At 53.9% G+C, this 12,309-nt stretch overlaps 1 protein-coding gene across 1 annotated transcript, besides 3 other annotated features; it reads right to left on the reverse strand.

The window, feature by feature from the left end:
• Positions 1–9,119: 9,119 nt before the first annotated feature.
• Positions 9,120–11,758, reverse strand: RABAC1 (Rab acceptor 1). The gene is made up of 5 exons (NM_006423.3): positions 11,674–11,758; positions 11,173–11,385; positions 10,723–10,820; positions 9,455–9,556; positions 9,120–9,371 (listed from the first exon to the last, which is right to left on the reverse strand). The coding sequence occupies exons 1-5, from the start codon at positions 11,727–11,729 to the stop codon at positions 9,283–9,285; spliced, it is 558 nt and encodes a 185-aa protein (NP_006414.2). The 5' UTR covers positions 11,730–11,758; the 3' UTR covers positions 9,120–9,282.
• Positions 10,966–11,035: a silencer, noted in NCBI's record as "silent region_10679". NCBI's record gives its function as "represses an Ori minimal core promoter by ATAC-STARR-seq in GM12878 lymphoblastoid cells {active_cell/tissue: GM12878}" and the evidence as "EXISTENCE:reporter gene assay evidence [ECO:0000049][PMID:35858748]".
• Positions 11,486–11,735: a silencer, noted in NCBI's record as "silent region_10680". NCBI's record gives its function as "represses an Ori minimal core promoter by ATAC-STARR-seq in GM12878 lymphoblastoid cells {active_cell/tissue: GM12878}" and the evidence as "EXISTENCE:reporter gene assay evidence [ECO:0000049][PMID:35858748]".
• Positions 11,846–12,135: an enhancer, noted in NCBI's record as "active region_14695". NCBI's record gives its function as "activates an Ori minimal core promoter by ATAC-STARR-seq in GM12878 lymphoblastoid cells {active_cell/tissue: GM12878}" and the evidence as "EXISTENCE:reporter gene assay evidence [ECO:0000049][PMID:35858748]".

Genomic DNA, 12,309 nt, shown 5'->3' on the forward strand with positions numbered 1-12,309 from the left:
AGGCCGGGTGTGGTGGCTTAAGCCTGTAATCTCAGCACTTTGGGAGGCCGAGGGGGGCAGGTCACTTGAGGTCAGAAGTTTTAGACCAGCCAGATCAACATGGTGAAACCTCATCTCTGCTAAAAGTACAAAATTAGCCGGGCGTTGTGGCAGGTGCCTGTAATTCCAGCTACTTGAGAAGCTGAGGCAGGAGAATCGCTTGAACCCAGGAGGTGGAGGTTGCAGTGACCCAGGATCGCACCACTGCACTCCAGCCTGGGCGATAGAATGAGACTCTGTCTAAAAAAATAAAATAAGGCCAGGCACGGTGGCTCACACCTGTAATCCCAGCACTTTGGGAGGCCAAGGCAGGCGGATCATGAGGTCAGAAGATTGACTCCATCCTGGCCAACATGGTGAAACCCCATCTCTACTAAAAATACAAAAAATTAGCCAGGCATGGTGGCGCATGCCTGTAGTCCCAGCTACTCAGGAAGCTGAGGCAGGAGAATTGCTTGAACCCAGGAGGCAGAGGTTGCAGTGAGCCGAGATCGTGCCACTGCACTCCAGCCTGGTGACAGAACGAGACTCCATCTCAAAAAAATAAATAAATAAAAATTAAATTAAATTAAATTAGCAAGCTAGTCTGTCACCTCACAAATGTACTGGGACAATGATCTCTGTATAACAACCTACACAACCAGACCCCATTTCTGTTACCCAAAATACATGCAGGGGCCCCAGTCCGTTTCCCAAAAGCAGACAACCAGATACCCAGTCTCTGTCACCCATATATACTCTGGGACCCATCTCTGTCCTGTAAAACTAGACAACCTAGCCCTAGTTTCTTTGCCCCAAATACTGCTTGGCACCCCCAGTTTCTGTCACTCAACACTAGACAACCAGACCCCAGTCTCTGTCACCCCAAATATACCCAGGGATCCTAACCTCTGTCCCACAAAACTAGGCAACTGGACCTCCAGAGTCTATGAGGTCACATGTTCCCTGGTCTCTGTTTTCTCCCCACAAAACTATAAAACCAAATGCTCCATCTCTGTTACCCTGAATACATCACCCTGGGACCCAGTCTCTGTCTCACAGCCCTAGACAACCAACCCCCAGACACTGCCACCCCAAACGGGACAATTGTACTTCTAGGCTTCTAGGGTCTGTCACACCACGTTGAGCAACACGTTGCATAAAATGTGACCTCAGACTAGAGACCTGGGCCCACAGTCCCATTCATCTTCATCTGCTCGACCAGACTCCATCCAGTGTGTCTCCTAAACTAGACGGCCAGACCCCTGGTCCCACTCATGCCAAATGAGACAAGCTAACTTCCATTCTATGTCACCCTAAACTAGACCCTGGAACCCCTATCATTTCATCTCACCCTGGACAACTGATCCCTAATATCTGTCATTACAAACTAGGCAGCTAACCTCCTAGCCCCTGTCACCCCAAATTCAACTTCCCAGTCTCTGTGCCCCAGGCTAGGTCCTGGGATCCCAGTCTTTATCCCACAAAATTAGAAACCAGAACCCCCTGATTCTGCCACCCCAATCTAGGCAAAGAAACCCCCACTTCTGTTTCTTTTTTTTTTTTTTTTTTCAAGACAAGAGTCTCATTCTTTCACCCAGGCTGGAGTGCAGTGGTGCGATCATAACTCACTGCAGCCTGGACCTCCTGTGCTCATGTAATCCTCCCACCTCAGTTTCCCCAAGTAGCCGGGACTACAGGCACGCGCCACCAGGCCTGGTTGATTTATTTTTATTTTTTATTGAGACAGGGTCTTGCTGTTTCCCAGGCTAACCCCCACTTCTGTTGTCCCAAACTGGACATCTGGAACCCCGATCTCCAGCATCCCATACTATCCAACCAGATCCCAGTCTGTTACCCCAACTAGGCAACCAGACCTATAATGGCTGCAGCCTCAAACTAGCCAACTGGTCACCCCAGGTCTTCCACCCCAAGCCAAGGCCCTGATCCCCCCAACTGGTCACCCCAGGTCTTCCACCCCAAGCCAAGGCGCTGATCCCCCCAACTGGTCACCCCAGGTCTTCCACCCCAAGCCAAGGCCCTGACCCCCAGGGCTTTGGTCTTTAGCCAAAATTAGTTGGCCAGTCTTGTGGCCTCTGTAACCCCACCCAGATAATTGGACTGGTAGCCTCTGGCACCAAAGTGAGATAACCAGACCTCCAGTATCAGATACCACAGTGGAGTTCACCAGATCCCCAGTTACTGTTGCTCTAAACTGGTCATCAAACCCTCAGTCTGGTACCCCAAACCTTAAATTTCAGTCTCAACCCAGTGTCACCTCAAAAGAGCCAAGACTCTACATCCAATACCCCTAAGGAGGTGCCAGAAGTCCCAGTCTTCGCCACGAGAAACTAGACAATCAGAACCCAGTCTATCACCCCAAAACAGACCTTAGAATCTCAGCCCCCATCACCCCAACCTAGACAAGAACATTAGTCTCTGCCACCTCCAACAACTGGTTCCTGTCACACCAACCAGATGCAAGTCCCTAATCTGTCACTTAAAGAGAACTGGGCTGGGCGTGGTGGCTCACACCTGTAATCCCAGCACTTTGGGAGGCCGAGGCGGGCAGATCATGAGGTCAGGAGATCGAGACCATCCTGGCTAACACGGTGAAACCCCGTCTCTACTAAAAATAAAAAAAATTAGCCGGGCGTGGTGGTGGGCGCCTGTAGTCCCAGCTACTCGGGGGGCTGAGGCAGGAGAACAGCATGAAACCAGGAGGTGGAGGTTGCAGTGAGCGGAGATCGCGCTACTGCACTCCAGCCTGGGCGACAGAGTGAGACTCTGTTTCAAAAAAAAAAAAAAAAAAATTGAGAACTGAACCCATTTTCTTTTTTAAAGACAGGGTCTCCCAGGCTGGAGCGCAGCGTATGATCCTAGCTCACTGCAGCATCAAACTCTTGGATTCAAGTGATCCTCCTGTCTCAGCCTCCCAAGCAGCTGGAACCACAGGCATGCACCACCATACCCAGCTAATTTTTTCTTTTTTCTTTTTTTTTTTGTAGAGACGGGACCTCATTTTTTGACCCAAGCTGCTTTCAAACTCCTGGCCTCCCAAACAGATCTCCAATTACCATTACCCCAAATCAGAAACTGGATCCCAGGCTATATCACCAAACAAGACCACCAGATTCCCAATCTGTCACTTCCAACCAGCCAGCTGGATCCCAGACTGTCACCAAAATAGACAAGACCTTTGGTCTCTGTCCCCTTGATGAGACAGCAAGCCCTCCAATTTCTCCTACCCCAAACCAAACCTCGAATCTCAAGGTTGTTCAGGAGAGACAGAGAAATGGTACTGTAGTTTTGTTTTTATTTTTATTTATTTATTTATTTTTTCTCGAGACAGAGTCTTGCTCTTTCGCCCAGGCTGGAGTGCAATGGCGCGAACTCGGATCACTGCAACCTCCACCTCCTGGGTTCAAGCCATTCTCCTGCCTCAGCCTCCCAAGTAGCTGGGATTACAAGCGTGCACCACCACACCTGGATAATATTTTTTTTTTTTTTTTTTAAGTAGAGATGGGTTTCACCATGTTGGCCAGGCTGGTCTCAAACTCCTAACCTCGTGATCCGCCTGCCTCAACCTCCCAACTTGCTGGGATTACAGGCATGAGCCACCGCATCTGGCAGGTTTTCATATTTTTGATGGAGTCTTACTATGTTGCCCAGGCTGATCTTGAACTCCTGGGCTCAAGCGTCTTGGCCTTCCAAAGTGCTGGAATTACAGGCATGAACCACCACCTCCGGCCCTGGGACCCTAGTCTTGATCACCCCAGATGGAAGCTTCTGGTCTCAGCATCTCAATAACTCAACACCAGAATTTGAGACCTGTAGCCAGTTGCCTTCAGAATAGGCCTTTGGCCTGAGTACCAACCTCCCCCTGACCCGCAGCTCTAGCCTGCTGCCTCAGTGATCTCAGAACTGAGTGCTTGGGTCTTTGGCATCAGTAGCCTCCAAGCAAAGCACCTCGATCATATTCACTGCAAACCCAGCGATGTAGACTGGACCTAGCGTCCACTCACCAACATGGGCACGGACACTCAGTCTCCCCTGGGGAATACTGGCATTGAGGTCAACAAACACCCTCTGCTACTCCAAAATTGGGATTGGAACCCTGGCCTCTGAGTAGGCCCAGGTGACCTGACTTGGCCGGGGGCACCCCGGGTCCCCACCCTGCCTGGTGCCCCAGGATGAGTCCATCTCTAACTGCCTCCCTGGCGGAAGCACTTGTCTGCCCTCTGGTGGCAGATTCTGGAAGTGCACTCCTGTGTGGCGTCAAGACACCCAGGCTCCCCCTGGTCTTCCCATCTTTTGGGAAGCCTGAAGCCTGGGGGTCTTCCTGCTTCCTTCCACTCACCTCCCACGCAAGTCAGCCACCAAGACCTGTCCTTCAACCTCCTGAATCTCTCTTCCCTGTCTCGCCTCTCCACCCCACTTCCCTGCCCCATCTTCCCCAGCTAGGATCATCGTCCCTCGTCTCACTCCCTCCAGCCCATCCGCCACACAACCTCAGAGGGATAACCCTCTCTGCCCCGCCCCGCCCCTCCCCTGTCCCCGTTCCCCTCCCCTCCCCTTCCCCTCCCCTCCCCTTCCCCTCTCCTCCCCTCTTTTCCTTTTATTTTTCCCTTCCCTTTTCCCCTTCCTCTCCTTTCCTTTCCTCTTTCTTTTTTTTTTTTTTAGAGGGAGCCTCCCTCTGTTGCCCAGATTGCAGTGCAGTGGCGCGACCTTGGATCACTGCAACCTCCGCCCCCCAGGTTCAAGCGATTCTCCTGCCTCAGCCTCCCGAGTAGCTGGGATTACAGGTATGCACCACCATGCTGGGCTAATTTTTGTATTTTTAGTAGAGACAGGGTTTCGCCATGTTGACTAGGCTGATCTCGAACTCCTGACCTCAGGTGATCCACTCACCTCAGCCTCCCAAAGTGCTAGGATTACAGGCATGAGCCATCATGCCCGGGCTAACTTGCAATTTTCTATTTAATCCGCACACCCCCCGCCCCCGCCTTCTTTTTGAGACAGGGTCTCACTCTGTCACCCAGGCTGGAGTGCAGCGGTGATGCAATCTCGGCCCACTGCAGCCTTGACCTACTGGGCTCAAGCAATCCTCCCACCTCTGCCTCCCAAGTAGCTGGGACCACAGGCATGCGCCACCACACCTGGCTAATTTTTGTATTTTTTGTAGAGACAGGGTGTTGCCATGTTGCCCAGGCTGGTCTCGAAGTTCTGAGCTCATGCAGTCCACCCACCTTGGCTTCCCAAAGTGCTGGGATTATAGGCATGAGCCACCACACCCAGCAACTCTTGTTTGTTTGTTTTTAAAGAGATGGGGTATCTCTGTGTTGCCCAGGCTGAGTGCAGTGGCAGTCATGGCTCACTGTAGCATTGAACTCCTGGACTCAAGTTATCCTCCCACCTCAGCCTCCCAAGTAGCTGGGACTACAGGCCCACACTACCATGCCCAAATAACTGTTTAACTTTTTTGCAGAGATGGGGGTCTTGTTGTGTTATCCAGGCTGGTCTCAAACTCTTGGGCTCATGCAATCCTCCCACCTTGGTTTCCCAAGGTGTTAGGATTATACAGGCATGAGCCATGGTGCCCAGCCTTAATCATGTTTTTTTTCTTTTTTTTTTTTTTTGAGATCGAGTCTCGCTCTGTCACCCAGGCTGGAGTGCAGTGGCGCGATATTGGCTCACTGCAAGCTCCGCCTCCCAGGTTCACGCCATCCTCCCGCTGAGTAGCTGGGACTACAGGCGCCTGCCACCACGCCTGGCTAATTTTTTTGTATTTTTAGTAGAGACGGGGTTTCACCATGTTAGCCAGGGTGGTCTCGATCTCCTGACCTCGTGATCCGCCCACCTCAGCCTCCCAAAGCGCTGGGATTACAGGCGTGAGCCACTGCGCCCGGCCTCTTAATCGTGTTTTTAAAAGTAAAAAACAAAAGGTGAAATGAATAATAATTTAATCCACTATATCAATAAATTATCCTTCCAACACACATAATCAACATAAAAATTATTATTATTTTTGAGACAGAGTCTTTCTCTGTTACCCAGGCTGGAGTGCAGTGGCACAATCTTGGCTCACTGCAACCTCTGTGTCCCAGGTTCAAACAATTCTCCTGCCTTAACCTCCCAAGTAGCTGGGATTATAGGCATGTGCCACCATGCCAATTTTTTTTTTTTTTTTTTTGAGATGGAGTCCTGCTCTGTTGCCTAGGCTGGGGTGCAGTGGTGCGATCTTGGCTCACTGCAACCTCCGCCCCCTGGGTTCAAGCAATTCTCTGCCTCAGCCTCCCAAGTAGCTGGGATTACAGTGCACCGCCACCATGCCCGGCCAATTTTTTTGTATTTTTAGTAGAGACGGGGTCTCACCATCTTGGCCAGGCTGGTCTTGAACTCCTGACCTCGTGATCCACCTGCCTCGGCCTCCCAAAGTGCTGGGATTACAGGCGTAAGCCACCGCGCCAGGCCAATTTTTGTACTTTTAGTAGACACAGGGTTTCACCATATTGGCCAGGCTGGTCTAAAACTCCTGGCCTCAAGTGATCTGCCTGCCTCAGCCTCCCAATAGTGCTGGGATTACAGGTGTGAGCCACCATGCCCAGCCTATAAAAATTATTGAGATATTTTACTCCATTTTCATACTAAATCTTCGAAGTCTGGTGTGCATTTCACACTCATAGCATGTCTCAGTTTGGACCAGCCATGTTTGAGGCAGCCGCATATGGCTGGCCACCATATCTGACAGGAGAATTCCAGAACAGTGGGCATCAGTGGGCTCTGGGTGAGCACCTGCTGCATCAAGGATGAGTGGGTGAGTTCTGCTGAGGAGACACGAGGTTGGAGAGGCTGCATCCCTGAGGCCTTGGCACTCGCTGTCCCTCTCCTTGGGAAACTCCACCCACTTCTTGTGTCTCCTCAGAGAGCCCTCCCAGACCACCCCTATCTAAAGTAATTGGCGGGGCACGGTGGCTCACACATGTAATCCTAGCACTTTGGGAGGCCAAGACAGGTGGATCACCTGAGGTCAGGAGTTCGAGACCAGCCTGGGCAACACAGTGAAACCCTGTCTCTACCAAAAATACAAAAAAATCAGCCGGGCGTGGTGGCAGGCGCCTGTAATCCCAGCTACTCGGGAGGCTGAGGCAGGAGAATCACTTGAAACCGGGAGGTGGAGGTTGCAGTGAGTCGAGATCGCGCCATTGCACTCCAGCATGGGCAACAAGAGCGAAACTCCATCTCAAAAAAATTAAAAAATAAAACTAAAAATACAAAAATTAGTCAGGCGTGTTGGTGGGCACCTATAATCCCAGCTACCTGGGAGGCTGAGGCAGGAGAATAGCTTGAATCTTGGAAGTGGAGGTTACAGTGAGCCGAAATCACACCATTGCTCTCCAGCGTGGGCGACAGAGAGAGACTCCATCTCAAAAAAATAAACAAATAAATAAAAATAAAAAAATCAAGTCACTTCTTAGGCCCTCTCGGCCACCTCCCTTGTCTTCATCTGCCTGGCACTTTCCCTCCCAAGTGTGTTTCTCTTTTGTTACTGCTACCACGTGGCAGTCTCCACCTCATGATGAAAGGCAAACTGGACCCGGCACGGTGGCTCATGCCTGTAATCCCAGAACTTTGAGAGGCTGAGGCAGGAGGATTGCTTCAGCCCAGGAGTTTGAAACCAGGCCAGGCAACATAGTGAGACCCTGTCTAATGAAAAGTTAAAAAAAATTAGCTGGGTGTGGTGGCGTGCACCTGTGGTCCCAGCTGCTCAGGAGGCTGAGGTGGGAGGCTCACTTGAGCCCAAGAGGTAGATGCTGCAGTGAGCAGTGGTCACACCACTGCACTCCAGCCTGGGCCATAAAGTGAGACCCTGTCTCAAAAAAACAAAAGGCAAGAAGCAAACTGGGCTGGACACAGTGGCTCACACCAGTAGTCCCAGCACTATGGGAGGCTGCAGGGGGAGAATCGCTTGAGCCCAGGAATTTGAGACCAGCCTGGGAAACAAAGCAAAATCCATCTCACAAAAGCAAACTGTGTCTTTCATCTCAAGCAGAGTAAAACCCAAAGCCCTCACCGTGGCCCACAAGGCTCCCTGGCCTCCCACACTGTCCCCCTCGCTTATCTGCCCCAGCCACGCCCACCTCCTGGCTGCCCTCGAGCCTCCTGGCTGCTGCCATCTCCCAGGCTATGCCCCTGTGGCTTCCTCTGCCCCAATTATTCTTCCTCCAAAGGATCTGGGCTGCTCCCTCTCTCAATTTAGGTCTTTGGTGAATGTCACGTCAGGGAGGCCTTTTCTGGTCACCCTCTTTAACCCACAACTCATTCCCGAACTTTCTCTGTGCAGAAAAGAGTTAACCTGGCAGGCTCCACAACAGACTGCTGTCCTTAGACAGGCCTGGGTGCACAGTTGGTCCTTGGCTGGGAACTTGGGTGTTGGGGGGGGGGTCTTATCACTTCCTGATAGAGTGGCTCGCTGCATCTATCTAGGCTGTTCGTGCAGGCCTAGAGTGGCTTGCTGCATCTATCTAGGCTGTTCGTGCAGGCACAGGCCTTCTTTCTGGGAGCCTGGCATTTTGGTATATGTTGGAGAGAAGGTGCTCTTGTGGCCGCCCCCATGAAACCAAGGGCGCTGAGGCTAGGATCAGAGTGTCCCTGGCTGACATTTCACACGTCACCATGATCCACTGCTGGAGGAATTAGGTGTGGCCTCTGGAAGTGCATGCCTGGTTTCCCGAGTTCACTCCATGCACCTTTCCTTTTGGCTGACTTGGCTCCATACCCTTTGATGAGAGTAAATCAGAGCTGTGAGTGCAATTGCATACTGAGTCCCCAGTCCCAGAGAACCATCAAACCTGGGGTGCTCTCTGATTCCTGAGTCCTAAAGAACCATCAAACCTGGGGGTGGTCTCGGGGACCCCCGGCACACTGTCCTTCTCAACTCTTTTCTCCTCCTGAACACTCACCACCATTGGGCATCCCATAATATTTTACCTGTTTACCTTGTCATCGTCTTGCCCACACCCCAGGTTCCACCCCAACCCTGCTCTGTGCAGTATTCCCAGCTCCACCCATAGAGACCCACAGAAGATGCTGGGGGAATATTTCCTGAATGACACCCATAACAGCTTTATTTTCAAAGGCGGGATCCCTCCCCGGGCTTGTGATGGGACGGCGCTGTGGGCCCGAGCAGCAGAGCCGTGCAGGACAGGCATGGGCAGGGGTGGGGCAGCTGGCCCGGGAGGCCGGCAGGTCCCAGAAGACACCTCACACGGGTTCCATCTGCAGCTCCTCCCCGTCCACAGCCTCAATCTGGTGGAAGGCAGCGTGGGAGCCGATGACCACCAGGGTGGCTCCTGCAGGAAAGCCGGCAGCTCAGGGCCACACTCCTGCACCTGGCTCCCACCATCCACCCCAGCTGCTCAGACCCTGTACTCACCCAGCACCCAGAAGACGGCCGAGCCCGCACCAGCCAGCCAGAAGAAGGGGAAGGAGATGCCTCCAGCCAGAGCATACTGATGCGCTGGGCTCACCTCTCGGCCTGGGGGCAGATGGCATTGGGGTGCTGTTCCGACTCTCCATGCCCTCTCCCAGAGTAACCCCTGCTGCCCCCCAACAATCCGTACAAGCTCCAGGTTCTCGGGATCGAATCCAAACTCCTCATGCCAAGGCCCTCCAGGTCCTGGGGTCACCCTGTTCCCCTGCTGTCCCCACTGCCCTCCAGAACACAGCACACCGTCCTCGCCTGCCTCAGCCCCACCCTCTGCCCTCTGCCCCACATCCTCCAGGAAGTTCCTGGGATCCCGGCTTCCTGCTCCCTAGACTAGGGCTCTCCTGCTGCAACCCTCGCGCAGACCAGGGTCTCAAACTGGTGGCCCAAGGGCCAAATCTGACCTGTGGATGTGTTTTTTGAGCTGTTTTGCAAGGATGTGATTTGTGGCTGGCAAAGTGAACGATTTCACATAAAAATACCAACTTCAGGCTTCTCATAGAAGTCTCAGGGATGGGGTCTACATGCTCTGGTGACGGTGATCAGCTGAAGCCAAGTCGTGCCTGTGCTTCAGGCACTCCCTCCACCCCAGCCCATCAAGCACATAACTTGCAGGCCCCTGAAGAGCCTGGCCTTCAGGTCTACCTAACTGTCCAATCCCAACTCCCTGACCCCACTCCAAACCTTGATTTTCCCCTGGGGGGAATTTCCCCTGGCATTTTGTTTTCCCAGTGGTCCTTGGTACTACTAGTCTGGGAACCACATGAAACATACTCCTCGGCTTCCCTCTCTAAGTTCCAAGTTCTTTCTGGTCACACCCCAGAAAGCAGGAAAAGAAACGGGAACAGATCTAGGCCAGTGTAAGGTGGCCACCTGGTGTCCAGTGTGGGCACCTGCAGCTGATGTTGGCCGCAGAGAGCGGCAAGGGGAGGAGAGAGAGGGGAGGAGTCATGTGGTTTGAAAAGGAGTAGGTTTAAGGCACAGCAGCCAGGTGGATCCTGGGTTTGAGGAATAGCAATTTGAGGGGGCTGAGACTCGATGGAAGGATCGGTTGTGTCTGAGATTTTAAGGGATCAGGTTTGGGGGATCTAGTGTACATCTAGGCTTGGGCGGACTTGGGTTTTGAAGGACTTGGATTTGGGGTCTGAGGTCTGTCTGCATTCCAAAAGACCAAGATTTGAGGGACCAAGGATTCATCTGGGCAGGGGGTTTCTCACCAAAGAGCACAAGCTTGGACTCCAAGGTGCGCAGATAGAGAATGTAACAGGCGCCGAAAAAGACAGCCAGAGCCACCAGCAACATAGGGGACGTCACCCTGGAGGAGGAGTGCAGGGAGGCAGCGGTTAGACAGCTGGGGCTGGGCCAGCCCGACGGCCCTGGCCTTCTCCACCGGCGGGCGGCAAGCTACATCCTGGAGACCAGGGAGGGCCAGGTGACATTTAGTCACACTGCATCCTGGCCAGGGTGATGGTGGGGTAGGGGACCTGGCCCTTTGGTGACAAGGTAGTCTAGCAGAGCCAATCCTTGGGGGCGGGGCCTGGGCGGTGAGAAGAGGGCCCTGGGCGGTGAGAGGAGGGACCGGGCGGTGAAGGGCGGGGCCTGAGCGGCGAGAGGAGGGGTCCAGCCGGTCGGGGCTAGTGCGGGTGCGGGGCCCGGGAGGCACTCACACACAGTACAGGATGAGGCCCAGGAACACGAACACATAGTTGCTCTGGTAGTACTCCACGTTGCGTACGAGGCGCTGGCACAGCTCTCCCAGGTTGCGGGGCCGTGAGAAGCGCTGCTGGTCCACGAAGGTGCTCCAGGGCCGGATGGTCGCGCGGCGCCGCTCCAGCCACTCCCGGCCTGCACCGGAGGGAATCAGCTTCGGCAGCAGGGTCCTGCGGGGGGTGGGGCCGGGTCAGTGGTGGACCGGGATGGAGCCCCAGACCCCCGCAAAAGAAGGGGACTAAGGGTGCCTGGACTCCCTCCCGGGACCCCAGATTCCTGTACAGCAGGCAGGGAGGGGACTAGGGGCCCAGACTCCAGGGTCCCATTAGAGGAGACCGGGGCCAACACTTCTGCGGCTCGGGGCTGGGACTCCAGGCTCTCGAGGGAGGAGGGAGGAGGGGGCCGGGGGCCCGGACTCCCGGGTCTCTGGTCCGAGGGCCTAGAGCCAGCTCGCTCACGTGCCGCTCAGCCCTTCCGCCTCGGCATCTTTCTGCTGGTCCTTCTGCGCTGCCATGTCTGCGTCGTGAGGGGTAGAGCTGCTGTAACCAGCCCGGTACCCTGAAGACCCCGCCGGCCCCGCCCGACGCCGGCCCCACCCAGCGGAGTCGACGTGGCGCAGCCCCGGAGCAGCTGGGGACTGTAGTTCTGCCGCCGAGTATTGTGGGAGTTGTAGTCCTGACGGTGACTAAGAGGATGGGCGCTATGATGGCGGTCTGACTCGCAAAACACCTTGGGAGATATAATCCCAGAAAGTGACGGCGCGCGCCTCTGGGTATTATAGGAGTTGTAGTTTCAGGAGGGTGCATGTGGGCTGTCAGGAGCGAGGGCGTTATGGGAACTCTAACGGCAGAAGCGGGCGTTGTGTACTCTCCCAGGGAAGGCACAATGGGGACCGTGCAGAGCTGTCCTTCTGACTCTAGAGGGCATAAAAAAACACCTGGAGGGCTTGCTAAAACAGATTCCTGGGCCCTAGCCCAGATGTTTTCATTCAGCAAGTCTGGGGTGGAGCCCATAATTTCCATTTCTGAGTTCCCAGGTGATGCTGATGCCCCTGGTCCATGGACTACATTTTGAGTAGAAAGATTTAGATAATT

This window comes from Homo sapiens, chromosome 19 (genome assembly GCF_000001405.40).
Source record: "Homo sapiens chromosome 19, GRCh38.p14 Primary Assembly".
In the NCBI taxonomy this organism is placed as follows: Eukaryota; Metazoa; Chordata; class Mammalia; order Primates; family Hominidae; genus Homo; species Homo sapiens.